Source organism: Homo sapiens, chromosome 8, assembly GCF_000001405.40.
Source record: "Homo sapiens chromosome 8, GRCh38.p14 Primary Assembly".
In the NCBI taxonomy this organism is placed as follows: Eukaryota; Metazoa; Chordata; class Mammalia; order Primates; family Hominidae; genus Homo; species Homo sapiens.
In genome coordinates, this window is record NC_000008.11 from 142298994 (window position 1) to 142323778 (window position 24785).

General features: G+C 54.0%; 1 protein-coding gene across 47 annotated transcripts in view, besides 1 other annotated feature; it reads right to left on the minus strand.

Annotated features, from left to right (window-relative positions):
- Nucleotides 1-24785, minus strand: part of TSNARE1 (t-SNARE domain containing 1) — a 194950-nt gene that overhangs the window by 86914 nt on the left and 83251 nt on the right. For 12 of the 47 annotated variants that reach the window (NM_001363740.2, XM_047421488.1, XM_047421486.1 and 9 more), the window contains 4 exons: nucleotides 19551-19641; nucleotides 16010-16099; nucleotides 15391-15447; nucleotides 1493-1654 (listed from right to left, as the gene is read on the minus strand). In NM_001363740.2, the coding sequence (NP_001350669.1) occupies nucleotides 1493-1654; nucleotides 15391-15447; nucleotides 16010-16099; nucleotides 19551-19641 (400 nt within the window). Of the gene's footprint in view, nucleotides 1-874; nucleotides 1655-15390; nucleotides 15739-16009; nucleotides 16100-19550; nucleotides 19642-24785 lie in introns of those variants that run through there. The other 35 variants (NM_145003.5, XM_047421483.1, XM_047421484.1 and 32 more) reach the window with 9 other exon arrangements.
- Nucleotides 5459-5548: an enhancer, noted in NCBI's record as "active region_28057". NCBI's record gives its function as "activates an Ori minimal core promoter by ATAC-STARR-seq in GM12878 lymphoblastoid cells {active_cell/tissue: GM12878}" and the evidence as "EXISTENCE:reporter gene assay evidence [ECO:0000049][PMID:35858748]".

Genomic DNA, 24785 nt, shown 5'->3' on the forward strand with positions numbered 1-24785 from the left:
CGTTCAGCCCCAGAGAGAAGCCCCCGAAGCAGCCTCCAGCCAGGGCCACAGGCCCAGAGCTGGTGCCTTCCTCTCCAGGGAGCCCGAGGACAGGAAAGGGTGAAGGGGATGACACCTCACAGAGGAGGCGGGGGCCCCAAACACAGGTCTTGAGAAATGGGCGCTCCTCCACCAGGTCAAAGTAGGGGGTTGCCACAGCAGAGGCAGGGAGGTGGGGGCCACAGAACTAAGGGGCAAGGGAGAAGGGGCTGAGCCCCAGCACTGTGGGGTATTCCCTTCCTTCGAGAGTGGAAGACCTGCTCCCTGGGAGAGCAGAACCAGCCACAGGTACTAACCCAGTGACTTAGCTGAATTACTGCCAGGCCTCTGCTTTTCTAGAAGAGTCAGCTCTTAGCAGACATTTGCTCTGGAAACCCAGCCTCTGGGAGCTTCAGAGTGGGCAGGCCCTAGCGCCTTCTGCAGATGAGGTGGCCAGAGGAAGGGAAGGACGTTCAAGGTCACACGCAGAGGCTCGGATCCCACCGCCAACAGAGCGTGTCCCCCCCACGCTGCCTGATTGATGTGTTCTATGTACACTCAGGCATCAAGAGAGAAGAGGCTCACTCACATATGCATGCACTTACACATGCATGCACACACACGCACTCACGCACGCACGCATACTTGCATGCACACACGCACTCACATGCATCACACGCATGCACACACACGCACTCACGCACGCACTCACATGCACGCACACACGTGCACACACACATGCATACGTGCATGCACTCACACACACATACATACACACATGCTCAGACTCAGGTGCCTCTTGGGATACTCTGTTTTAGCAACTGTCTTAAGAGATTAACCATAGGCTAGAGACACATTTGGCAGCAGGTATTATACATGTGTAAACTTTAAAGAAATGAAAAATAAGCATTATACATGTGTAAAAAATAAGTATTATACATGTGTAAACTTTAAAGAAACGAAAAATAAGCAGCATCCAATGCCCACACTCTACAGTTGTACCCCGACAGCTCACCCCACCACCTGCTGGTAGCACCACCAAATTGCAGGTTCGGTTCTGAGCAATTTATTCAACCTTTCAAAAAAAAGTTACTGGGAACTGCATTAAGCACCAAATCATCTTCATTAGAGCTAAACAGCCTCCTGGAAGTCTAACCACACAGCAAATGAAATGGCCATGGTGACTGAGAGGCTACCCCAGCATAGACCCCAGCTCCTGGCCAGAGGGCTGTGCCCTATTAGGGAAACCCAGGAAGGAGGGGATGGGGATGGGGCTCCCAGACTCCCGTCTCTCCCTTATTGGACCAGATGGCCAGAGAGAGGTGGTTAGAATGGGCAAGGCCATGGAGGCCTAGTTCCAGCCCCTCCAGGTCAAGGGCAAGCAATGGTGCAGCAGGCTGGCACCTGGGCTCCTCTGGTTCCCAGCCTCATGTGGAGTGTGGAGAGTGAGCACGCTTGCCCACGCCAGCCTCACCTCCATCTGCAGGATGGCCTCCTCCCGCAGCCGGATGGCCTCCAGGTCCTCTTCAGTGATGTCCGGGAGCAGCGCCTGCTCCTGGCCCTGCCACATGTTGTCACTCCCGTTAAAGACCTTCTCATCATCAGCCAGCTCGGCAAACGGGGCCTGGGGACTCTGCTGATGACAGACAGATCTTGTTAGCACTGACCCCTCCCATTACCACCACAACCCAGGCCCAGAAATTCAACAAAATGGTGCTTTTCCCTTCACTATCCCCATCTGCTCTCTGAGGGGACGATCTGGGTCTGAGGCGGGGGCCTTCTGCGGCCACGAGCCTGTCACTGGGCATCAATCTGGGCCTCCCAGGCGCCGGTCACCTGGGAAAGACCACAGACGTCAGTCCCCAGTGTCATCAGCCCCCCCGCATCAGGTCCCAAGTGGGGGTGTAGGGGCCCGGGAGCACCCAGCAGAGGGGAGGGTGGGCAGGAGGCAGGAAGGGTCCATGCTGCGGCCGCCCCCTCCAGGTGCACACGTTCATACCGAACTGAAAACGCGACAACAGCGGTGATCCCACCCCACAGCCCTTCCTCCCCTCCCGTCAGGAGCCCGGCCACAGTGCCCCCCACCTTCCCTGCCCATGCCAGCAGGCCTTCCTTCACCTCCCGCCAGGAGCCTGGCCACAGTGCCCCCCACTTGCCCTGCCCATGCCAGCGGGCCTTCCTTCCCCTCCCGTCAGGAGCCCGGCCACAGTGCCCCCCACCTGCCCTGCCCATGCCAGCGGGCCTTCCTTCCCCTCCCGTCAGGAGCCCGCAGTGCCCCCACCTGCCCTGCCCATGCCAGCGGGCCTTCCTTCCCCTCCCGTCAGGAGCCCGCAGTGCCCCCACCTGCCCTGCCCATGCCAGCAGGCCTTCCTTCCCCTCCCGTCAGGAGCCCGGCCACAGTGCCCCCCACCTGCCCTGCCCATGCCAGCGGGCCTTCCTTCCCCTCCCGTCAGGAGCCCACAGTGCCCCCACCTGCCCTGCCCATGCCAGCGGGCCTTCCTTCCCCTCCCGTCAGGAGCCCGGCCACAGTGCCCCCCACCTGCCCTGCCCATGCCAGCGGGCCTTCCTTCACCTTAGGAAGGTGTGTGTGGTTATGCATGTGTGACTGTGAGTGCCTGTGTGGTTGTGGGATGTGTGACCATGTGACATTGTGTGTGTGTGAGGGAAAAAGGGAGACAGGAAAAGGCACCGAGAATGGGCAGAGCAGAAAACTGAGGTGGCGGCCTGGCCAGGACCGGCCTCACCAGGAGCACCTGCTCCACTCAGCCGTGCCCCCGATCTTCCTGAAAACCCTGCAGGGAGGAGCCAGGGCCTCCACAACAGCCGAGGACACTGAGGCAGAGCGAGGTGGGGCTGGCACCATGCTAAATCAGGGCGAGCCCGTGGGGCTCTGCAGCAGCGCCTGCCCTCAGACACACATCAAGGTTCGGTGAGTGCAAGGACAAGGCGACAGCGGTGGGGATGGCTGACAACGAACAGTGCCACGTGTGCCAGGCCCACTGATGCCACGCCGGCCACTGCTACCTTTACTTGCTCCTCATGCTCCTGGGGCACCGTAATGACCCCCCACCCACCATATGGGAGACTCAGGGAGTTCACAGCCACCCAAGCCACTCTGCAGTGAACGTGCAATTCAGCAAACCTGGCCAGGCTGCTGCTCCTGCAGCCCTCAGGAGCAGACCCATGGCGCCCTCAGCCCTGCCCCCAGATCCAGCTTCCCCTCAGCTTCACTCATGCTATGCCCACACACACCCCCTGACACAAATCCTCAGACCACCCTGCCTGCCCAGGCAGGTGCTCTCCCAGCTGACTCGTCCGGCCACTGGTCTTGGCCCAGTAGGTGTCACCACGTCTGGACAGGAGGATCTGACAGAGGTGGGGGCTGTGCCGGTCCCGATGCCTCGGGGCCTTCTGTGGCAGTGGGGCAGGAGGCACAGTTGCTGGGCCTGGATCAGAGCCCCTGCTGGGACAGGACTCTCAGGATGGGGGCTGCCCAGCTCACACCATAGCCAGGGACTCAGCCACAGGCCCCCTCCCTTGCTGTCCCCACCCCCGTCTCCCCAGCCCTCTGCGGGGAACATAATCAACGTCCTCTCCCAGGTCTGGGAAAGGCCCCGCAAAGCACGGGGTCCCAGCCAGCTTTGCGCCTCTGCTCATCAGGGCCCTCAGGCAGTGTGGACAGCTTTGCCAGGTCCTAGCCTCTGAGGGCACAGGGCCCTGCCTAGGTGTCGCCCTAGGCATGAGATCTGGGTGCAATGTGTGGAACTGACTGGGAATGGAAATCCAGGCTAGACCTGGGGTGCAGGCAACCTCTCTGCCTCATCTCTCCCCACTGGACCCTGCTGGCCTCCGCTGTGCCTAGGGACAGCACTGTCCACCAAGAGCAGCTGGCCATGCAGGCCAGGAGGCAAGGCACAGTGAAGGATCCTCCGTCAGCACTAAGCATGGAGGCACTAGGGGTACAGCTGCCACCCCAACCCATCCCACTCACGTCCAGAGCTCTTGCCATGCCCCTCCCGTGTGTGTGGGCATCTGGGGACATGGGCTGCAGGGCAGCCTGGCTCACAGGACCTGCTCTGCCGGCTCCCCCAGCGCTCGGGGACTATAACCTCAGTCGCCCTGCAAAGAAGCTGTAGAGGCTGCAACTTGCTCATCTTCTGCCCTTTCCCAAACTGAAAGCTGCCTCACCATGCCATGTAGCTCAGGGTGGGCACGTGCAGAGACCCCAGGCCAGAGGAAGCTCTGTGAGCGCTCCTGGGGAGGCCTCCCGGGGTAGCAGGGGGATCACCTCCCCTGGAGCAGTCACTGGCCCTGCCTGGCTTCCCAGCAGGTGCTGCTCCCAAAAACCGCCCAGCCTGGGTCCCGTTTATGCCCAGGGCCCAGCGAGGTGCCCCGCCTCCTGAGGCCCGAGAACCCTCTCTTGGCCAAGGTGGGGAGAGGACTGCGCCTTGGCCGCTGGAAGGAAGACCCCAGACACCACACAGGAGACGGAGGGCTCCGCCCCGTCTCACATGCTTTTCTTTCCAGGAACACCCATGGGGGGCCCATGGTACCCACCCTACGCCAGGCACTGGGACTGGAGCAGATGGACAGGTGACAACCAAATACAGACAGATGAACCCCGGCTGGACACCGAACCAGTGGATCTACAAACAAGCACTTCATTGCGTTTCTGGCAGAAGCCACCCCAGGCAGGTGCGAGGCTAGGAGGGCTGTATGCTGGTATGACTGCATCCAGGATGGGGCGACCTCACTAGTCCCCACAGTCTGCCGAGACGGCTGGTGACAACAGGACCAACAGCCACAGCAACCTTAGAGGGACGTGGCATGAGGCTGGAGACAACAGGACCAACAGCCACAGCACCGGCCACCCCAGGAGGGATGCAGCACGAGGCTAGGTGCTACTTCCTTTCTCCCATTTCCTCAGGCCCCTCGGCAGGGGCACGGCCACCCTCGTCTAAAGGGCACCTTGCCCAGGTCCTGCAGGTGGGATGGTGAGGCTGCCCTAGCCAGGTTCTCCTTCCCAAGCCAGCTTCTTCCTACACACCACCCTGACACGGGTAGAAGCTAGCAGAAGCCTTTAAATAAATAAATATGTGGATAGATGAATATAAAATAAAAGATCTAAAAAATCTGTTGACAAGCGCAACTCGTCCAAGGTGGTAATTATCACCTCCCCTTCCTGGAGTGGGCGGGAGGAAGTGAGCAGTGCCTGGCGGTGGGAGCCCAGGGAGGCGCTGGCCTCGCGCCAAGCCCAGCAACCCCAACGCCTCCTTCCTACGGCTCCAGCCCCTAGGCTTCCGGGGCTCTTGCAGAAAGAGCCTGGGCTCAGGTTCCGGCCCAGCAGTGGTGCCGGCTGTGAGGCCCCAGGCATGCCACGCCCTTCTCTGGGCCTCACTGTCCTCATCTGTAGAATGGGAGCAGCGGCACTCACAGCCCCGTGGTCTATGCCCCTCAAGCTCCACCCACACGGTCTGACCCCTCATGTCTGCAGAGCACAGCAGCTGTGCACCTCACTCCACCAGGAACCCGAGCACGAGGCTCTCCTAAGGTGTGAGGGCTCAGGAACACTGCCCTTCACTTCCTGTGTGGGCCTGGGGAGGGTCCTCAGCTTCCCTGAGCCTCCAGCTTTCACTTCCAGGGGATGGAGCTGACCTCAGCACGTCCTAGTGTCGCCTGGAGAGCTCGAGCTGAGGCATGCAAGGCTGCAGCATACAGCAGAGATGCCATGAGATGCCACCTTCCGGACTCAGGTGGGAAACCAGGTTGAGCTGTGCTTTTCCCAACGCTGTGAGCTACGGGGTAGAGACGTTCCTCCCAGGGGGGACATGGCCATACACGCCCCTGGAGAGCGGCATGACGGTTGAGCACAGCCTCCTCCTGCCAGCGGTGACAGGCCCTACAACAGCCCCACTGACTGGGGTCCCGTGGCCTGGGTAAAGTCAAAGCCCCCAGGTAAACATAACAAACTTTTGAGGTAAGAGGTCCCCGGGGCAGCCCGGCTGGTGTGCCCGAGGACGGAGATGTAGGAGCCTGCCCTCGGCCCTGACAGCAAACAGCCACAGGCGAGGGGGCTGGAGGAAATGTGCTCCCTCCCACGATGAAATCCTCCAGGGCAGCTAATGCGGGCGAGTGAGATGGCCAGGTGGAGAAGGCACCACAGGACGTTCTGTGCGATGTTCCCTGGACTTGGGGGTTTCAGTGACAGCTCCCCAGGAGCTGTGGGCAGAGGGTGCCAGGCACCCATGGAGACCTGCCTCGGATCTGTGCCTTGGGATTGATGCCACCTCCTGCATGTGGAGAAGGGGAAGCTCAGGAGGATAGGGGAGGGCGCAGGGGTGGGAGGGGGGTGCAAACGGGGTTCCGTGTGGACGCCCAGGAAAGCGGCCAGGCTGGGGTGCGGGCTGTGTGGACACCCAGGAAGGCAGTCACACTGGGATGCGAGCCGTGTGGACACCCAGGAAGGCGGCAGGGCTGGGGTGCGGGCCAGAGGAGACCCCGCAGGTGCTCGGTCTCCCTCACCTCCACAGCGGGAGGATCGGGGGCCTGGTGCCGCTCTCCCCAGCAGTGCAGGACAAAAGCCAGGGGAGGAAGAGATGGCTTAGACGCCCGGGTCCCTCCGCGGCCTCCTCCTGAAAGGCTCACAAAGCGCTCCTTTATTCTCCCCACAAAGGCCCAATTTGGGTCTTGAGCTCCGAGGCTGGGATTAGGGATTTGCTGGCAAGGTGCTGGGGCAAGCGCAGAGGGGACGGCCCTGTGATAGTTTTCCAGCTCAAGAGGCAGACAGACAAAGGCGGCTTTCTCCTCCCCACAGGGCTCAGGGCCTGGGTCCCTGTTCCGACACGTAGGGAAGAGACATGCTCTAACGTGAGTGCTGGAGACAGGGCACACACGGTTTCCCGTGGGAAGAGACTCCGCTCTGCCAGGCATTCAGAAAGCAGGGACCCGAGGCCGGCGCTCAGGGCTCTCCAAGGCTCTGGGAAGGAGACCACTTTCTCATGCACTCCGACCCGAGGGAGGGCAGGGGCCAGGGCAAGAGGCGCTCACACAGGGAGTGGTGGTGTCTTTTCAGGAGCCCCAGATAGCTCACTGTTTCCTCCAAGCAGCAACAGACTCTATTTATTCACTGGTGGAGTCTCTGGAGGCAAAGCCCAGAACATCAGGACGGACACGGCTGTGGCAATGCTTCCCCCAGCCCCACGTTAAATCAAAGGGAAATGGACCCAGAGACAAGGGGCGACCTCCAGCCCTGTGCCTCAAACATGGAGGCGTGTCTAGGCAATTTCCAGCCAGCCCGTGAGAGTGAAGCAGGTCTTCACTTCTGCAGCCCGGCTGGGGACACACGAAGTCCTGGTGGAAATGTAGGCTGAGGTGGCCAGTGACGGCAGAGACAGAGCATGACCTGCCACTGGGGCCATTGCCCTGATGCTGCCCCAGGGACTGGGATGCTGCTCACTGGCTGAGCCCAAGCTGGGTCTGAGACTGACCCTCGACCCAGCTGAAAACTACGGACCACAGCCAGGATCGCCAACTCCACACAGGCTGAGCTGCTCACCCCACACCCAGGGGAGACAGGCAAGAGACGGGGAAGGCAGCAAGTGCCCCTCGCACCTGCCAGGGCTGCCCGGCCTGTGAGTAGCAGCCCCCCAGTCCCCCCACATCAGCCTAGCATCAACTTGGCAACAGTCCTTTTGTTGAACAGGGTTGCATATCATCTCATCATTTATAGTTTGCAAATTCCTAGAAATAATCTAACCTTCCATGATTTCTCAGAAGCACTACTGGCCACTCCCCACCTTTTTAAAAGAAAATTCTACCGAAAGGCAATACATCTGTGTTTCAATGCCAGGTGCAAAGGATATAGCTCTATGACTGCTCACAAAGGAAACACATCCCAGCCAAGACACAGGACACTGGTCAGGACCCCCGGGGCCTCCCTCCAGCACCTGTCATCCCAGGCCCCCAACAGAGGAGAACCCAGTTCCAACTTCTAACACTGTCCACCAGTGGGGCCTGGTTCTGAATACTACAGAAATGGAATCCCACAGTCTATCCCCTTGGGTCTCAGGCTTCTTGGACTCAGCGTTATGTCCGAGGCATCACTGGTGGGGCCACTGATCATACAGTAGCCACAGCTCACTCTTTTGGCTGCTGTAGAGTCCCCAGTGGCATGAATTCAGCTTGGACTCAGCGTTATGTCCGAGACATCACCAGTGGGCGTGGTGGCCACAGCTCACTCTTTTGGCTGCTGTGGAGTCCCCCGTGGCATGAATTCAGCAGGTGCTGCTTTTCTGTGCTGGTCAGACTGGGCGGTGTTCCAGGTTGTGTCACTGCGTGGGGGCTGCTATGAGCATTCTCCCATGTGACTTCTGTCAACACACAGTTGTCCTGTCTCCACGGGGGAGTGGCCGAGGACTTCCACAGATACCAGAATCTGTGGGTGCGCAAGTCCCTGATATAAAATGACTTGGTATTTTCATACAACCTACGCACATCCTCCCATATATTTAAATCACCTCTAGGTTGCCTATAATATTTAATATGATGTAAATGCTATGTAGTAAATAGCATAGTTGTTCTGCCGTATTGTTTTGGAAATGATGACAAGAAAAGAAGAGGCTGTCCATGTTCAGAACAGCTGCCATCTTTTAAAAATATTTTCAGTCTGAGTGGTGGAATCCATGGATGTGAAACTCATGGATACGAAGGGCCAACTGAATATGCATGTCTGTTGGGCAGAACTGCAAGATCCTAGGTCAGAAAATGCTGAACTTGATATTCTCGAACAGTGTTCCAAAGTGGTGATGCAAAGGCACACCCCACCAGTAAAGGCATGAGAGTGCAACCGCCTGCACGCAGCCCACGCCCGGCTTTTGCAGAGGTTTTCACTCATGTTTGCTCTAGTTATTTGTGTGGGTGTGGTGTGTGGTGATTTACCATCATGGGTTTCTTTGCCATTTTTCTGATAACTCGTGTTGCCAAGTACACAATCACAGGCTTATGAGCCAACCGGAATCCTCTTCTGTGAGGTGCCTGTGGAAAGCTGCTGTCCTTTCATTGTTTTTCAATAGAGTTGTCTGCCCTTTCCTTGTTGATTTGTAAGATATCTTTATATATTAAGGATGTAAGTCCTTTTCACACGTGTTGTACAAACGCCCTGTCTTGTGCTGTGGGCTGCACTCTCTTCCTGGGGTATAATTTTAACAAAGTGTGTCGACCTTCTCCTTTGCGGTTGGCACTTGTGCGTCTGTGTAAGAAATACTTGTCCACCGTGAAGGCGTCGGGGAGCCTCCCATGGTGCCTTCTGGATGTGCTACTGCCTTATCTTTCGCACGTGGGTCTGTAGTCCGGCTGGAAGTGCTTTCTGCACAGGGTGAGCTGACGTTTGCAAAGGGTCCTTTTTTTCCAGTTCAAACATCCGAGTGATCCGTATCAAGCTCTGAATGAATCACCCACCTCCCGTGGCAGGGCAGTCCACCTCGGCCACAAACCCAGCCGCCACGTACGTGTGGTCCGTGTCCAGTCTCCACCCTGTCCCATGCGTTGGTGTGTCCATAGGCTGGTGTGTCCACGGCTTGGTGTGTCCGTGGGCTGGTGTGTCCACGGGCTGGTGTGTCTAGCCTCACACAAACACCACACTGTTTTCATTTCTGTGCTTTATAGTGTGTTCCAATACCTGATAGTATAAATCCCTTTCGTTCTTCTTCAAAATTGCCTTTGCTATCTTGGGTCTTTCATATTTCCATATACATTTTGGAATCAGCTTGACAGTTCACACACACACACACTGAAAACCTGCTGGAACCTTATTGGGATTGTATTGAGCCTACAGATTCACTGGGTGAGAGCTGACATCTCCATACACACGGTATCCCCTCCATGGTTTAGATCATCCACTGGGTGAGAGCTGACATCTCCATAAGCACAGCAACCCCTCCGTGGTTTAGGTCATCTGTCATTTCTCTTAGTAATGTGGCATGTTTTTTAATGTAGAGGCCTTAAACCGCTCTTCATAGAATTTTTTGAAGAAATTTATCTATTGTAATAAATTTATTATATCAGTCTTTAAATTTCCTCTCCAAACTGTCTTTTGCCAGCATACACAATGTCTTCTTGTCTAGTGACCTGTCCTGCCGCATTCACTGATGAATTCTGACAGCACGCTACAGGTGCGTTCGGATTTTCCATGGACATAATCACACTGTCTATGAAACACAGTTTCTTCTCAATCCTACTCTTTTTTTTCATGCCATACTGCGTTGGATACAACTTCTGGCACAATGGGGAACAGAAACCACAGTACTAGATGCCCTAGTTTTATCTTCTATCTTAGGAGAAAAGACTTTAACATCCCTCAGTAAGCCTAACGTTAACTGTAGGGTTTTTGAAGATACCTTCTGGCAGATTAAAGGCACTCCTATCTATTCCTAGTTTGCCAAGAGTTTTTTAGCCTCCTTGAGTGCTGAATTTTATCGAGTGCTTTTTTCTATCTGTTGAAATGACCTGTACACATTTCCTCACTTATTCTATATTACATGGTGAATCACACACAGACTCTGAATGCAAATCAATCCTGCATCCCTACAATAAAGCCCACTTTATAATGATGGATCATCCTTTCACAGATTGCTAGATTGAAGTTACTAATATTTAGGACTTTTGTGTCTATGTTCATAACAGAGACAGGCATGTTATTTTCCTTCCTGGGAACCTCGTAAGAATCTGGAATCAAGGTACTGGGGCCTCATGAGGCAGGCAAGGTGTGCTTCCTCCTGCCGTATTCTCTGTAACAGCATGTGTAAACTGCTGCTAGCTACTGCTCAAATATGGGACTGAATTCACCCATACAGCTATTGAGGTCTAGAGTTTTCTTTGTGGGATATTTTTAAATTATGGATTTAATTTTTTAATAAATATTAAACTCCCAGATTTTCTGTACCTCTTGGTAAATTGTTTTCTAAAAAAAAAGTCTCCTCTAAGTTGTCAAATTTATTGATGTTTATAACATCCCTGCGTTTTTCTTTTTTTAATGTGTAGGACTGGTAATGATCTATCCATTTTCATTCTGACAACTGGTAATCTGTATTTTCTTTTTCTATCTTGATTAATCTTGTAGGGGTTTAACAACCCTTTCAAAGAGCCAATTATTTTGGCTTTGCTAACTTGCCTACTGAACGTGTTTTATATTTCGTTAATTTCTGCCTTAGTAATTGCATATATTACTACATAACACTTACTCAGTCTGCCCTCGATGTGTATGTTACTTCTCTGATGATGCGAGGACGTCATGACACTTTAACACTATTTGCCTCCCCTCTGTCTTCTGGGCCATTTTGTCAATAGCACACACCTGACCATAATCTGAAGCCCGCCAGTCCTCATCATCACCGTTCCACCGTCGACGTTAACCTGGGCGCAGCCACATCAACTGTTTCCATTGTCCCTTACTCCCTCCTCCGGGACACGCTTCCCTCTGAGATCACTCCTTTTCCACGTGGAGGGGGTTCTGTTGATGAGGAGTTCTCTCATTTTTGTGCCTCTAAAACTGTTTTCACTTCACCTTTATTTCTGAAGCATGTCTTCCCCAAGGTGCAGCTGGAGATTAGTTATTTTTCTCATGCGTTTTGAAGGCACATTTCCACTGTCTTCTGGATTCCATCGTTTCTTCTAAGAAAGTCAGGTGTCAGTCTTGTCCCTTTAAAAATCATGTGACTTTTTTCTCTGACTTTAATGTGCTCTTAACATTTTTTTTCTAGTTTGAATCTGCTTTTCTAAGATTTTATTTTTGCCTTTGGTTTTCAAATTTTTATCATGCTATGACCAAGGGTGTTTTTGCTTGTTTTTGTTTTTTCTTTTTTGAGACAGTTTTGCTCCGTCCCCCAGGCTGGAATGAAATGGCATGCTCTCAGCTCACTGCAACCTCCATCACCCAGGTTCAAGCAATTCTCGGCCTCAGCCTCCTGAGTAGCTGGGATTACAGGCACCTGCCACCACACCCGACAAAAATTATGTATTTTTAGTAGAGACGGGGTTTCACCATGTTGGTCAGGCTGGACTCAAACTCCTGACCTCAAGTGATCCACCTGCCTCGGCCTCCCAAAGTGCTGGGATTACAGGCGTGAGCCACTGCACCCAGCCAAGGGTGGTTGTTTTTTTTTTTTTAATTATTTGAGACGGAGTTTCGCTCTTGTTGCCCAGACTGGAGTGCAATGGCAATCTTGGCTCACTGCAACCTGCGCCTCCCAGATTCAAGCGATTCTCCTGCCTCAGCCTCTCTAGTTTTTTTTTTTTTTTTTTTTTTTTGAGATGGAGTTTTGCTCTTGTTGCCCAGGCTGGAGTGCAATGGCACAATCTCGGCTCACCACAGCCTCTGCCTCCCGGGTTCAAGTGGTTCTCCTGCTTCAGCCTCCCGAGTAGGTGGAATTACAGGCATGTGCCACCACACCCGGCTAATTTTGTATTTTTAGTAGAGACAGGGTTTCTCCATGTTGGTCAGGCTGGTCTCGAACTCCCAACCTCAGGTGATCCACCCACCTCGGCCTCCCAAAGTGCTGGGATACAAGCATGAGCCACCACGCCTGGCAAGGGTGGTTTTTTAAAAGGAGAAATTTATCTATTCATAGAGCTTCTTGAATCTGTGACTTGAAGTATTTGGACAGTTTTGGAAAACTCTCAATCGTTACCTCTTCAAATATTATTTCTATCCATTTTCTCTCTCTCCTGTTCATCTAGGACTCTATATTCTTTAGATTTTCTATCATTTTTTCTTTTGCATTTCAATATAAGTTTTCTTATACCCAGCCTTCTAATTCACCAATCCTTTTTTCTGCTTTGTCTATGTGGAGATTTAGCTAACCCACTAAATTCTTAATTTTAATTATATTGTTCAATACCAGAACTCCCTTTTTAAAATAAAATGTAAGTTCTCTGGTAAAAGTCTATACCATTTACTATTTCCTTTCACATGTTAATAACACAGATTGAATATCCCTCATCCAGAATGCTTGGGACCAGAAGTGTTTCAGATTTTGAACTTGTTTTCAGATTTTGGATTTTATTTTCAGATTTTGGAATATCTGCATTGTACTTATTGGATGAACATTCCTCATCAAAAATCCAAAAACCTAAATGTTCCAATGAGCATTTCCTTTGTGCGTCAGGTTGGCTCAACAAGTTTCAGATTTTGGAGCATTTTGGATTTTGGAGTTTTAACTTAGGGATGCTCAACCTATAAGCTGAGTGTCCAACCAACTATTTGAATATCTGCATCACCTGTTGGTCAGTTTCTACTTCCTGTTTTTCCTTGGCTTTAGTAATTGGATCCTGTTACCTATGATGCCTGATGACTTTGGCTTAAATCCCAAACACTGTATGAAAAATTGCAGAGATTCTAGATGATGGGATTGTCCTCTGTCTTTGGAGAGACAACATAGACATGATTCCAGGCTATACTTTAGGTTTGGTTGGTCAGGGCTGGTCTACTTCTGGTTTACCTTCATCTCTCATGGTCTCAAGCAGAACTTGTGTTTACAAGAGTCCCTCCTCCTGGGTGGGCCTTAAAATCCAACTTTCGTCTTCTTAGTACTCTGAGGGTACTCCAATTTCTGTTCAGCTTTTCCTGTAAAGTACTTGTTGCTTGACTTCTTAGACTCTCACATCACGCACACACCAGCGAATATGGATCAGCAAAAGCCTGCCTCAAGGGGAAAACGGACCGAGTGCTGCAATCCCCTTGTGCTCTAGGGTTTTATTCCTAAGGGTCCTGAACTCTAATTTTTGCCTCTCCAGCCCAGTAAGACCACTAAAGCTATAAGCCACCACTGCTGTTCAGTCTCAATAAGCTGAGACACAAGCTGGCAAATGTCCTGGGGGTGAGAAGGCAGTGATGATGAGCCTGAGTGATCTGGGAATGCGTGCCTCTCTAGGCTTGGCTCCCAGCTGCTCCGATGTTTCCCCCATGTTGGATCCATGTGTGTCTGCATGTCTGCATCTATCTGTGTGTCTCTGGGTGTCTATCTGCATGTGTCTACATGTCTGTGTTTATCTGCATGTGTCTGTGTGTCTGTGTTTATCTGCATCTCTTCATGTCTGCGTGACTGTTTATCCGTGTGTCTGCATTTATCTGCATGTGTGTCTGCATGTCTATCTGTGTCTCTGTGTGTTTATCTGCATGTCTACATGTCTGTGTTTATCTGCACGTGTCTGCGTGTCTGTGTTTATCTGCATGTGTCTAGATGTCTGTGTTTATCTGCATTGGTCTGCATGTCTGTTTATCTGCATGTGTCTGTGTTTATCTGTGTCTGCATGTCTGTGTCTCTGTGTGTTTATCTGTGTGTCTCTACATGTCTCTTTATCTGTATGTGTCTGCATGTCTATGTGTCTGCGTGTCTGTGTTTATGTGTCTGTGTGTTTATCTGCATGTTGTCTACATGTCTGTTTATCTGCATGTGTCTGCATGTCTGTGTTTATCTGTGTCTCTGTGTGTTTATCTGCATGTGTCTACATGTCTGTGTTTATCTGCATGGGTCTGCATGTCTGTTTACCTGCATGTGTCTGCGCATCTGTGTTTATCTGCATGTGTCTCTATGTGTGTTTATCTGTATGTCTCTGTGTATCTGTGTGTCTCTAGCTCTGTCTCTGCAAGTCTCTGTGTGTCTGTGTCTCTGTGTGTTTATCTCTGTGCATCTGTGTTTATCTGTGTGTCTGCATGTCTGTGTGCATCTATGTGTGCATTTTTCTGTATGCATGTGCCTGTGTTTTTTGTTTTTGTTTTTGTTTTTGAGACAGAATCTCACTCTGTCGCCCAGGCTGGAATGCAGTGGCGTGATCTCGGCTCACTGGAACCTCGGCCCTGCCTCCTGGATTCAAGCAATTCTCCTGCCTCAGCCTCCCATGTAGCTGGGATGACAGGTGCTCGCCACCACGCCTAGCTAATTTTTGTATTTTTAGTAGAGATGGGTTGTCTCCATGTTGGCCAGGCTGATCTTGAACCCCTGACCTCAGGTGATCCGCCCACCTCGGCCTCCCACAGTGCTGGGACTCCAGGCGTGAGCCACCGCGCCCGGCCACGTGTGTGTGTGTGTTTTCACCCAGGTTTCACAGTGGCTCTCAGCAGGAGAGCTGGTCTGACCTGTGAGTCCTGCCCAGCACATGGCACCGTCCGCAGTCATTCTTTGGGAGCTGAGCCCTTGTCAGGCACTGTGCCAGGGCCCAAAGGTCAAAATGCCCACGTTTTCAAGGCTGTGCCTCAGGGCGCCCCTCAGATGACACCCCTGCCCTTGGCCCTCCCCGCCCTTCCATGGAGCACAGATGGCAGCGGATTCTGGGCTGTCCCCTAACAGCCACTGACCATGGTCAGTACTCGGCACCCACCTGTTTACTGCCCCTCTGCGCCATGGGAAGCAGCGCTCTGGACTTTTCTGCAATTTTCTGTTGAAAAAAGGACAAGAGAAGAAAGACAGGAAGAGCAAAAAGGGTGGGGAAGGGAGAAGAAATGGTCAGCTGAGTGCAGGGCTCTGGACGACGGTGCAGCAAAACACGCCTGCCACTCCCAGAAGAGGCTGCCGGGGCCGGGGCTGAGCTCTGCCAGCGACTCGCTGGATGGCCTCTGTCCATGCCACTCCCAGAAGAGGCTGCCAGGGCCGGGGCTGAGCTCTGCCAGCGAGTCGCTGGATGGCCTCTGTCCACGCGTGGGAGCTCTCTGGGCCCCAGTTTCCTCACCTGTCAGAGCAGGGTGAGACTTGTTCTTCCTGCTTCCCCAGAGCTACTGTGGGTCAGCTCTTGAAGGTAAATGTCCTCTAGGACACATGCCCTGAGGCACAGTCTGGATCCTGGCTGCCTAGAGACTGTCTGCAAGAACAACCCTCTTCTCTGCCTTTGGGGATGGGGCTGCACCAGGCCCACAGGGACAAGACAGCCATGACAGTGCTCCGGGAACCGAGGCCGACCCCACCTGGCCTGCAGACCCCCACTGCCCCCACCAGCACCTCACCTTCTGCACCACTCCATAGCACTGAATGGCATCTGAGAGCTGGGTTTTCAGCCGGTCCAGCTGAGGACGCTCCTGCTGCAGACGCTCCTGCTGCAGAGAAGGTACAGCTGGCACGGCATGGGAGGCTTGGCCCTGCCCCAGCAGCCCCCACCACCCACACCTCCTCCCGTACCGATGTCCCACCTTCCCACACTCAGAATGGGGCTCGCCATCAACTACTTCCCCTCCGTGTCACCGTCGTCTCCACAGGCACACCCAGGGTCCCCAGGGACACCATCACCACAAAATCCGGTGCAGGGGTCAACACCACCTGCCGGAGCCAGGAGCTACCCAAGGCACATAAACCCGGCCCCACACCACCTCCGCGAGCAGCACTGTGACTCCTCTTCCACAGCGCAGGACGTCGTGGCCCTGAGTCCCGAGTGACTTGTCTGTGGTCACATAGGTGGTGGGGCCACTGCCAGAACCATCCCCCTCCCCAGCATCTCGCCTGTATCTGGGCTCCCCGTGGCCTCCAGGGTCCACCAACCCCAGTTCCTTCCTGCTGGGATGTTCGCCACCACACCTCAGTGCCCACCAGGCACCTGCTTCAGAGCTGGAGCTGGAGAAGCACGGAGCCGGGGTGGGGCTGGACACGCACGGAGCCGGGGTGGGGCTGGACACGCAGCCCTGGGGCCCGCCTCATTGCTCTGGCTCACCGTGGACACCACCCACCAGCAGCAGCACCAAGGAGCCCACAGCTTCCTCCCAGCACCCACCCCATGGCTATCGGAGGATTGGAGAGAGCCAAGGCTAAGGCGGGCTGGTCTGGGGTAAACCTCTGACAGCCGAGGGGCACTGGGAGCAGCCTACCACAGCCTTGACCTCTTCCCACAATCGAAGGCACTACATCTCATCAAAGCGTCCACGGCCCACAGAGTCAAAGACGTGGTAGGCACTGACCGTGCACCCACCAAGCCGCGTGAAGGAGCCATTCGCTTCACGAGGAAACTGCCTGCACGGACCACCCAACTCTGCTCTCACCCCACAGAAACGCCTCTCAGAATCGCAACCCTCCACCATGTGGGGCCTTGCTCAGCACCTCACGTAAGCGCAGCGCCTCCCGTAAGAGGGACCCAGCGTGTATTCTTGGATGAAGGAGTAAATGAATAAGTGACTCAGGCACACCTGAGTCAGAGAATGGAGAACAAAGCTACAGAGGAAGAGGTCAGACACAGGCGTCGATGCTGGTCATGACGCTGCTGACATCACTGCCCGAGGGCACAGGCCAGGGCAGCACCTGGTCCCCACAGAGTGGTCCCCGCAGGGCAGCCATGGCTATGAGGAGTGACCCATGCATGGAAAGGCTCCAGGCCGCTCAGCACAAAGCTCCCAGTGTTCCTGTCATCTGCCTTTAGGGAGACTCTGGCCACCCCATCACTGGACAGGGGACTGCTGCCTCTGTTACAGTTTTTTAGTGTAACTAACTTTTGAACTGACTCTACTTTTTTAAGTACAAGTTTTATTACTGTCTAATTTAGATCTGATAAAATCTACCCGCTTTAAGTGTAGAGTTCAGTAACTCTTAGTTGTACAGCCATCCCCACAACCCAGTTTTAGAACATGCCCATCACCCCAGAAAGGGCCCTGCGCCTTGCCTGCAGGCACCCCAAAACCAAGCCCTGCTCCCAACCCTGACAACTGCTCATCGACTTCTGGTCTCCACAGATTGCATTTTCTGGATGTTTCACACAAACAGAACCATACACTGTGCGTTTTCTTGCGTGGGGGCATGCAGTCTTCCAGCCTCACCACATTGTGGCCTGCCTAACTCTCCGCTCCTCACTGCTGACCACACCCAACACGGCACTGGCCACGTCACATGTATTTTCCACAGGGAGGGCGGCATGCATTTCCCCTGTAGGACTGGCTGAGCCACGCTGCTGGCTCTGCAGCAGGCCGAACTTGCAACCCCAGCCCTCCCAAGGCAGTGAGAGCAACTATGGGCAGCACCTACGGCAGGGACAGATTGGCGTCTCGCTCACACTGTGCACGTGAAGCAGGTGCGGCCAGCAGCTCACACTGCACACATGAAGCGGGTATGGCCAGCGGCTCACACTGCACGCGTGAAGTGGGTACGACCAGTGGCTCACACTGTACGCATGAAGCGGGTATGGCCAGCGGCTCACACTGTACGCATGAAGCGGGTATGGCCAGCGGCTCACACTGCACGCGTGAAGCGGGTACGACCAGCGGCTCACACTGTACGCGTGAAGCGGGTATGGCCAGCGGCTCACACTGTACGCGTGAAGCGGGTATGGCCAGCGGCTCACACTGTACGTGTGAAGCGGGTATGGCCAGCGGCTCACACTGTACGCGTGAAGCGGGTATGGCCAGCGGCTCACACTGTACGCGTGAAGCGGGTATGGCCAGCGGCTCACACTGTACACATCAAGCGGGTGTGGGCAAGCGGCTCACACTGTATACATGAAGCAGGTACAGCCAGAGTCTCACACTGTGCTTATGAAGCGGGTTCGGGCCAGCAGGCTGCAGCTTGCTGACTCCTGCCCTGTAAAATCTTAGGGTTCAGCAGTATTTAATCTTTTGTCACAAGTACCCTCCAATCTTCAGCAACTGGGCACTGACCTGGTGTGGTGGAGCGGAGGGTGTGGGGACAGTCAGAAGTGGGGACAGGGCCAGGCGTGGTGGCTCATGCCTGTAATCCCAGCACTTTGGGAGGCAGAGGTGGGAGGATCACTTGAGGCCGGGAGTTTGAGACCAGCCTGAGCAACATGGTGAAACCCCACCTCTACTAAAAACACAAAAATTAGCTGGGCATGGTGACGGGCGCCTGTAATCTCAGGTACTCAGGAGGCTGAGGCATGAGAATCACTTGAACCCTGGGGGCAGAAGCTGCAGTGAGCCAAGATCATGCCACTGCACTTCAGCCTGGGAGACAGAGCAAGACTCCGTCTCAAAAACACAAAAAAAAATTGCGGACAGGGTGGAAATGAGGGAACAGCCCTGGGGCAGCTGAGCCGGAACGGTAGTGATGGCTGTGGCAGTGGGTATGCTGATGGCCACTGCCACGGCCATATGTCTGGCTTGAGGCCCATGCGTCTGATAAGGCGCCAAGGTAGGTGAGGGGATAGGGAGGGTGCACGTGCAGGTGGCCTTGGGTGGCGGATGCAGCAGAGGGGCAGGGGATGCACAGCAGGGGAGAGGATGGTGAAACAAACAATGGCGGGCCATCAGCTTCCAGTAAGGCCTTGCCAGGAAGACCCAGGGTGCTCTTGTCCCCACTACTGCATAAGCCAAGGACAGCAAGAGTTCAGGTGGCCACACCAGCTCCCGGCACGTGGTCAGCACACGGCTGCTGCCTGAATGGCTGCACACAGGTTCTGAGCCATGGAGCCATGGGAGGCTGGGTGCCAGGCCAGTCTGTGTCCATCCACACACGTCAGCCTCCCTGTATCCTGCCTCGTGTGACATCCCTGCTCCCATCACAGGCAGAGGGGTCCATTCCTCTCCTCCCTCCCAGCCCCAGACCCCAGGAACATACCGGGCAGGAGCTGCGCAGCAGCTCGGCCATCTGCTTCACGGAGCTGGCGCTGGCTGCAATGGTCTTGTTGGTCTCCTGCTGTGCCGTGTGCCTGGGGGCCGAGAAGGAGCCAGGAGCGAAGGCAGGGGAGGAAGGCAGCAGAGAGCAAGGGCCCAGAAGGACGGAGCAAGCAGGGACGCACGGGCCGAGTGGGGGAGACAGAGACAGATGGATGGACAGGCGGAGAGAGGGCCGAGAGACACACAGAGACAGAGAAAACAGCAGAGAGGAAAACAAGAGTAGGGAAAGGGTAGCAAACAGAAAGAGGCAAAGACTCAGAGAAAGAGAGAAGGGAACAGAGACAAGAGCAGCGATGATTCCCACAGAGAAAGAGGAGGGGGCCCAAGAGCCAGGACAGGGAGAGACAGGCAGACACCCAGCAAGAGACGGGGGAGACGGGCAGACACCCAGCAAGAGACGGGGGAGACGGGCAGACACACAGCAAGAGGCAGTGGGGGCAGAAAGGCAGGCAGAGAGAGACGGCGCAGGTAAGCTCTGGCTGGGGTGGGTGGCCCAGCCAGAACAGTGGCAGCCGGGCCCCACCAATCGGCCACTGCGAGGACCACCTTGCTCCGCCGCAACCACCCCCAAATACCCCACAGACAGGAGGCTGAGCCACGAGCCCTCCCTGCAGAAAGGCCCGTCTCGGGGTCAGCTCCCCTCGGAAAGCCAGCAGGAGAATCAGGGCAAGAGCGCCATGGCCCAGGGAGGCCAGCAGTCCCCACCCCCCTGCACACCTCTGAGGGGTGCACACCTCTGAGGGGCCCCGGGTGAGACGGTTCTCACACCCAGACCCAGGGAGACACAAGGAGGCCAGGACAGTCCCAGGTTACAGTTCCAAGCATGACCTCGAAAGCAACTGGGAAGACCAGCCCGTCTCCCGCTTGGGGTTCGCCACCCCCATCCCTGGAGAGAGGAGCACCAGGGCAACGGTACCCCAGCCCGGCTGCAGGCACACACACCAAGTGCAGGGAGGACCCTGGCCTGCTGGAAACTGGGGAGCCTCAGTGACCCTTTCAAGTACAGCCCAAAAGGCCCCTGCAGGCCCCTCAGGCATCACCCAGGACCTGCACCAAGCAGGCCTTGGGGCCGACACGTGGGAGCGAGCCTGGCACCACCACTGCAGGCCAAGCCTACAGGAGCGGGGCCCACCTCCTGATACCCACCCTGGGCGGGCAGAGCCTGTGGCACACAGAGGAGTAAGACTGCCCCCCCAGAACAGGCACCCAGCAGGCTAGAGAGGGTGTGGGCCAAGGAGGGCAAGGAGCCATAAGGTTACTACAGACTAGGCGGGAAGCGCGGGGACAGGAGCTTTCTTCCCCGGGGCCTTGGTCAGGGCCGCCTCCTCCTGCAGCTGGCGTCTGAGGCTTTGGAGAGCCTCCAGTGCCTCCAGCTCCCAAACACGCCTCTTCGGCCAACCACTGGCTTAACACTGTGAGAAGGATGCAGAAGCAGAGTGCCCCTCACCCCCGCTCCCACCAGTCCCCTCCTCACCCTGGGCTGCCACGCAGCCTCCTGTCCCTCTCCCTGGGCTGCCACTCGGCCTCCCGTCCCCGGCCCACTCACCACTGCATCCCCTCACATTCTGTGCACAGCAGGCCTGAGCGATTCTGCTAAAGACAGTTCAGATCTTGCCAGTCCAAACCTCAGAGCTCACCAACAGTTCCACATCTCATTCCGGTCAAAGCCAAAGTCCCTCTAGCGCTGCTCTAAGCCCACGCGGGTGGCCTCCCGCATCTGCAACTTCACCTCCCCACACCACCCTCCTGCACCTCTGACTTCACCTCCCCACACCGCCCTCCTGCACCTGCAACTTCACCTCCCCACACCACCCTCCTGTACCTCCGACTTCACTTCCCCACACTGCCCTCCTGCACCTCCGACCACTTCCCCACACTGCCCTCCTGCACCTCCAACTTCACCTCCCCACACCACCCCTAGGTTCTAGGCCCACGTGGGTGGCCTCCTGTACCTGCAACTTCACCTCCCCACACCACCCCTGGGTTCACTTCACTCCTGGCCCATGAGTCTCTGCTGCTCCTGAATGAGCCGGACAAATCCCTGCCTTAACACTTTCCTAGGCCAGATGCAGACAACCAAGCCCTAGTTGCTGACCCAGGAGCAGCTGTCTGTGGTCACGCTGCCACCGTGGGCAACGCCCCCAGCACCAACACCTGCCCAGACAGCTCCCCTGGGAGGGTCAGGCAGGTCACGACTCACACTTTTCTCTGCTCCGCGCTGACCTCTCCACTCCTCTAGACTCCCATGTGGCAGGGGCTCTCACTCATGCCCCCACTGAAACATCCTCATGGAGCCATTAGTGCTGGAACGAAGGCAGCCCGTTTCCTGTAGGCAGTGGGTCAGGCTTTTCTCTTTCCAGGCAGGATCTCGTCTCATTTGTGCCTCCCTCACAAACTGTTAGCACCATGCAGGATCAAAGTGAACAAGGCCTCCTTACCCAACCTGGCAATACCCCAGGCATCAGATCACCCTGCCAAGTCCATCGTGGGAACAGGAGGTTGCCAACCAGAAAACCCAAGACATGATGAAGGGAGTAGGGAATGAGAGCCACCAGTCAAGGAAGGGCAGCAGGCGGAATGGCACTACAGAGGGGCCACCTTCCATGATGCTCGTCCCAATAAAAGGCCCAGAGGAGACCTCCACTTACAGCCATGGTACCAGGCAGTACCTCCTACCTCAAACAAGCAGAAAATACATTTTAAACAAACACACACACAAAGCTAAGGGATGCAGCTAAAACAGTACTTACAAGGAAATTACTGCTTTAAATTCTTATATTAGAAAAGAGAAAAGAATAAAATCAGTGTCCAGAAAGTCCACCTAAAGAAGCCAGCAAATTAAACACAAAGGAAGTAGAACAGAGATAATAAAGGTAAGTTCAATAATTAATAAAATAGCAAACAGACCAATAATAGAAACAATAAAATAAAAAAGCATTCAAAACATTACACAACTCTGCCTAGACAGGTCAAGAGGGAAAAAAACCACACTTGCAAATTACCAAGATCAAGAATGAAAGAGTGAGCCTGACTACAGATCCAACATTAAAAGAACATTACGGAAACACAAATCATATCAGGCCCATAAATTTGACAACTAAGATGAAATAGAAAAATTCCTTAAAAGACATGAATTATATCAAAACTGACTCAAAAAGAAATAGAAAACCTAAATAGCTCTATATGTATGGCAGAAGTAAATTTGTGCTTAAAAACATTGCTGCAAATACACAGGCACAACAGGCTTCAATATCAATATCATGCAATCCCCTAGAAAACAGAGAGGAGACACACATTGTATGAGGCTCACACCACCCTGATAACAAAACCCAAACAGAGAATCTAAAGGAAAGAAACCCATATATCACTCACAAACCCAGCAGCAAAAATCTTCAATACAATTTTAGAAAAACGAATTCAACAATATATGAAAGAGATAGTATACCATGACCAAGAGGCATTTACCCACAGGGTACAAGGTTGGTTCAACATTCAAACATCAGTGAGTGTAATTCTCATATCAACAGAGCAAATTTAACAAGGAGAAAAACATCTTAATAAATTATGCAGAAAAAGCATGTGACAAAATTCAACACTCATTTTAGACTAAAACTTCCTTTAGTTTAGTTCCTAGTTTCCTTAACTAGAAAAAAGAAGGGGACTCCCTCAACCTGATACAGAGAGGCTGTTAAATAAAAAACAAAACAAACATCTAAGATACTTAGAGCAGAAGATGGAATGCTTCCCCGTAAGATGGGGAACAAGGCAGGTATGTGTGCTTTCACTACTTTTACTCTTCATACTATAAGTTTACCTAGGAATAAGGGGGAAAGAACTAAGAAGCATAAAGATTGAAAATGAAGAGTAAAACTGTCTTCAGTCATAGAGACATGTACATCTATATAGAAAATCCCAAGGAATCCACAAAGAAGCTCCAGGAACTAATCAGCGAGTGAATCTATGCAGGTCACAGGATACAAGGAAGTACACAGAAGTCTCTTATATTTCTATGGAGTTGCAGCCAATGAGAGGAGAGGAACACAAATAAGAGAAAGGCCAGCCTGTGTCCGTGGGCTGGACGATGACATTGTTATGGAAGTCCAGCTTGGCCGTGCCTGTGGGCTGGGCGACGATGTTGTTATGAAAGGCTGGCCTGGCTGTGTCCATGGGCTGGATGATATTGTTATGAAAGGCCGGCCTTACCGTGTCTGTGGGTTGGACAACGATACTATTACGAAAGGCCGGCCTGGCCGTGTCTGTGGGCTGATGACGATATTGTTATGAAAGGCCAGCCTGGACGTGTCCATGGGCTGGATGATATTGTTATGAAAGGCCGGCCTTACCGTGTCCGTGGGTTGGACAACGATACTATTATGAAAGGCCGGTCTGGCCGTGTCTGTGGGCTGGATGATATTGTTATGAAAGGCCGGCCTGGACATGTCTGTGGGCTGGATGACAATACTGTTATGAAAGGCCGGCCTGGCTGCATCCGTGGGCTGATGACGATATTGTTATTAAAGGCCAGCCTAGCCATGTCTGTGGGCTGGATGACGATATTGTTATGATGCCAGTTCTTTAATTTATCCACAGATTCAAGGTAATCCCAAAAAATTATAGAAAGCTTTTTTTTAAAGAAATAATAATTGACAAACTGATTCTAAAATGTATACTGAGCTACAAAGGGGTATGAGAGGAGGAGATGCGTTTGGGCAGCACGGGGGGCAGCACCAGCATGGCTGGCTGAACACTGTGGCATGGGGCAGGCGAGGCGAGGAACAGCTCGTGGCCACCTCCTGGGTCTCCAGAGTGGACAGTGAGCCATCGGGGACTCTCTGGAACTTCTGCCTGTCGCCAAAGTATGAGAGACATCCTAAAGACGCACTTTTAGGCAGACTCCTGCTGGCAAGGGGAGGCCTCGTGAGGGGCAACGGGGCAGCAAGGCCAAGTGTGGGTCCCACTGGAGGGGGCTCCTCCGGGAAATGGCGACTCCAATCTGAGGCTGGACACTGCTCCAAAGGCCGAGGTGCCTCAGCAAGGGCAACAGAGCAACCCAGGACCAGCAGGGCACTTGGCCCAAGGACACGGGAGCTCACACTGTCAGAGCCAGGGAGTCACCATCCTCACTAGAAAATGGACTGATGATGTCAGCATTCCCACTCGCCATCACGAGGCAGTT